General features: G+C 43.9%; 1 long non-coding RNA gene across 1 annotated transcript; it reads right to left on the minus strand.

Moving 5' to 3' along the window:
- Nucleotides 1-349: 349 nt before the first annotated feature.
- On the minus strand, nt 350-3,444 carry LOC105374263 (uncharacterized). Its single transcript, XR_924812.2, has 3 exons — nt 3,358-3,444; nt 939-1,246; nt 350-820 (listed from the first exon to the last, which is right to left on the minus strand). It is a non-coding gene; the product is annotated as an uncharacterized LOC105374263 (long non-coding RNA).
- Between the last annotated feature and the right edge of the window lie 548 nt (nt 3,445-3,992).

Genomic DNA, 3,992 nt, shown 5'->3' on the forward strand with positions numbered 1-3,992 from the left:
AATTAAATCAATGTGTAAAGCACTTATTATGTACAGGGCACCAGGAGAAGTTTCAGTGTGCAGTGGGGACAAAGATAATTCAGATAAGGTATTGTCACTAAGGGGCTTATCTGTTAGAAAGGAGGTAAGAATGTAACAGCAAATGATTACAATACAATGTAGAAAGTGCTAACCTCTTTAAGAAAGGAATCAGAAAATCTTAGGAATTAAAATTATCTTGGGCCAAAGAGATCAAAAAAGGCTCAGAGGGAGAAGTATTTGATCTGGAAATGAAAAGGTAGGTATTCAGGATACTGATATGACACTGAAGGGTCTTTGAGACAGAGAAAAGTATAGGCACATCCACAAGTTACTAGAAAGCAAGTTTTAATGAAGCTACAACCAGGGACTGGCTGATAAAAGTGAAGCCAAATCCCTTCAAGAAGGTGCCAAGTCCATTCTGGTCTGGAATGCATTGATAATTGGGACATTATGCTCAGAGACTCCAAATTGACATTCTGTCGTCATCCCTCTTGGAATAGAAACTCTGATCCTTTAAAGTAATTAGCACCAATTTGGAGCATGTGTGCAAAAATAAATCACCAGTGTCCAAAAACAGATACATTAGGTTCAATGGTTATGAAGCAAATGTTCTTATTAGCTCCGCCTACGTAAACAAAATCAGAAGTAATTAGCATTTAAAAATAGAAGAGACAAGAAGAGATCACAGTTCCCACTGGAAAATTATTATTTATATAAAGGTCCACAATGCTGACACACACGACTTGCCCTTCCTGGTCTCAGTCCTGTTTTTCTGTGGCTACAGGATCAGTTTTCTTTCCTGAGGGAAAGGAGAAGAAACTGTGATTGTGTGCATTTCAAACGTCTTGGTTGAAATTGAAAAGTGTGTGTTCTCCACCAAACAAAAATATATCTTTTCTCCATCTCCTCCTCCCTACCTCTTCAGTGTGCCTCATCCCATCCTCTTCTCGGGTGGGGAGAGTTTGCTGTGTCTCGAGATTGTGAGCAGAATCTGCCTCCAGATTGCAGGAAATACTATTGGCCTTTGCACACAAGACACCTACCTGTTGGAGAAAGCGTCAGTAGCCCACATTGAAAGGCAGCAGCTCTCATTAACTCACCTGTGCACACTTCGAAGTGACCCTTGACATCTTCTCCAGAACATGTTACATCTCTTCAAGGACGGAGCCTCACGGCGTTAGGTGTCAGAATGGGGAGGTGAACTGGCCATGGAGCTCCTGAAAAGCTGAGGAGGAGACATGAGCATGTTTGGCATAATAAAAAGAGCACTGACCAATGGCCCAACAAGCCTCTGAGTCCCAGCTGTGCCACTGACATGTTCTGTAACCTTAGCCAAGACATGTGCTTTTTCTGGGTCTCAGTTTCCTTAGGGGCTAAACTGCGTCATCCTCTTCATCCTCTTGCTCTAGGATGCCATACAGATTTCTACCCTTTTAAAGACATAACTTCAGTCTTTTATCTGCCTTTTTCCATCTGCTGTCTTGGAAAGATGTGAATAGCATGATTTGGGGTGGGGAGGGTAGGACTTGCGCATTTCTCTAGTCCTCATTTATAAAATGTGTAAAAATATGCCCCACACTTCCTTCCCCAAAAGACTGTGGCTTTAGGAACACAGGACAAATAAACATGGAAGACACAGAAGGCCTTCTTCTCAGGGTCATGGCAGAACCCAACAAATCACTCTCAGTCCTAGAAACAAACATCACATTTAAAGCTGAGGGGAACTTGGAATATAATTGAGGACTAAAGAGGGAGAACTTTGCTCAAAGTAGCATGTTAAAGACAGAACCATGTTTCAAACCTTTTGGTTCTAAATCATCTTTCTAGCATGTCATTCTTCTGGCTTTTGGATGTCTAACCTTGAATTGGGGCTGAGGAATTGATTGGCATACATCCACTTTAAGTAAAATTATCAGTGGCATTGGAAGGGGAGAGTGAGTGGATTAAATCCTTGACTCTTAGCTCTTAGTTTTTGTTAGGGTTTAATTCATTTTTTGTGCCTTTTCCCCAAATGATTTGTGGTTTTTTCCTTTTAATTAATACCAGTCCCTCTGGCTATCTTGCACACCTGCTAATGGTTGGGTCTTTTTGTTTCTGCCACAATTGAAGACTTGGCTCAAATATCTTCTTCTCTGGGTATTTTACCGTCTTCCACAGCCAGTCTATATTCCATGGCACTTCATCGGTATTTTCCTTAATAATTACCTCAAGCTTTTCTAAGGTCCATCTCCTCTGTTAAGTTGTCTGCTCTTTGAGAACCGGGAACACCTTTGTGTCCTTGTTTCCAATGCTGGAAATGCTATTCAGTTATGCTTATTGAATGAATGAATAGAAGAAATAAGAACTTCGTCCGTAACCTGATTGTGCCCTAGGAGGCCCTCAGAGTGATGGCAAACATAGCAGTGGCCTCCATTTCATTCTTTATGAAGAATCAAGAAAGGTCAAATAATGGGCAGATCTGTCTTGGCTATATCTGATCTCTTATGTTGTTACACCTATGAATTTATAGCACTCATCCGTGACTACTCAAGTGTAGCCTGAGTACACAGAGTGACCCTGCCTAGGCTCAAGAGGTGAAGGAAAAGAACAAAAAGACAACTTGCAAACTTTGGGTTGCCAGTCTCAGCATGAGGGCCTCCCAGAGCTAACCCCCAACTGGCTTTGGCTACAAGCCTGGATCTGTTGTCTGGGCACCGGCACTGGTCAACTTGGTTATTGCGAGTGGAATGTGACAAGGGTCAGACACCAGGGGTGGTACCTGAAACTGTTTCGGAAAGAGTGAAAGAAAATGTGGCCTCTTTGCTCAAACACTTGAAGGAGGAGAGAAGGGGAAGATTACACAAATAGCCATCTGACTTCTATCCAGTATGGCAGGCAGGAAAGCAAAAGAGAAATTTCTGAAATATTGGTGAAAGATTGGAGAAAGAGGGAGAATCTGGAGTGAGGGTACTGGAATAAGGAAGACAGAGACGAAAAAGACAGAACAAATAAACATGGGAAGGAAGAGGGAGGAGGTAAGGAGGAAGGGAGGAAGGAAAGAAGAAAGAAAGGAAGAAGAGAAGGAGGGAGGGAGGAAGGCAGGGAAGGAGTAAGGGAGGGAGGGAGAAAAAGGGAAGGAAGGAAGGGAGGAAGGAAAGAAGGAAGGGAGGGAAGATGGAAAGGAGGGAGGGAGAGAAAAGAGAAGGAAAGAAGGAAAGGAGGAGGAAGGTCAGTCATTTAAAATGAGAAAAGAGAACAAAATCAGCTAGGGAGCGGGTGAGAGAAAAGTTTGGAGAGAAAAAAGAGAAGTGGAGAGCCATGAGGACAAGACTCAGGACAACTTGAAATGTGCCAGACCTGCTCAGCTCCGGAAACTTCCTTTTGTAAGCCTGGCACGGGGAAGATCTGTGCACAGAGGAAAATGTGCCAACTCCTGCCCAGGGCCTGTCAGAGGATAGAAACAGATCAATTAACCTGGGTGGGGCTCTCCTGCCAGTGCTCAGGGCCTGGCCAGGCCAGACCAAGCCAAGGACTCTCACGTGATCATTAGGCTATTAAAGGCCATGAGCTGCAGGCTAGAGTCAGCCTTTTATCCTGAGAAAAATCCTCTTCCTGTACCAACATCATTCTGCTGGCCCGGCCACCACCTCTCTGCCAGGCCCAGCTAGGGACACAGTTAGACCAGGCACTTGGCCTTGGAAAACAGACACGTGGGCCACTCTGTGGCCAGCACAGCCTGATGTAACCAATTGGTGGGATAATCTTGGGGCATATTTGTGGATCGAACAACAGGCATTTGGAGCAGAATGTTTCCATAGTTCTTAGACCTGGAACTCCCTCATCATTCAACAGATGAGGAAATGGCAAAGAGAGAATTAGTTGTCTAATAGCAACCACCTAGGTATTGGCAACATTGGGACCAACACTCCAGATCTGTCGTCACTATGCGATAAGATGTATGTATAGCACATGAAGTATTCAGGACAGTGCCT

The sequence above is a fragment of the Homo sapiens genome, chromosome 3 (genome assembly GCF_000001405.40).
Source record: "Homo sapiens chromosome 3, GRCh38.p14 Primary Assembly".
NCBI classification, from domain to species: domain Eukaryota; kingdom Metazoa; phylum Chordata; class Mammalia; order Primates; family Hominidae; genus Homo; species Homo sapiens.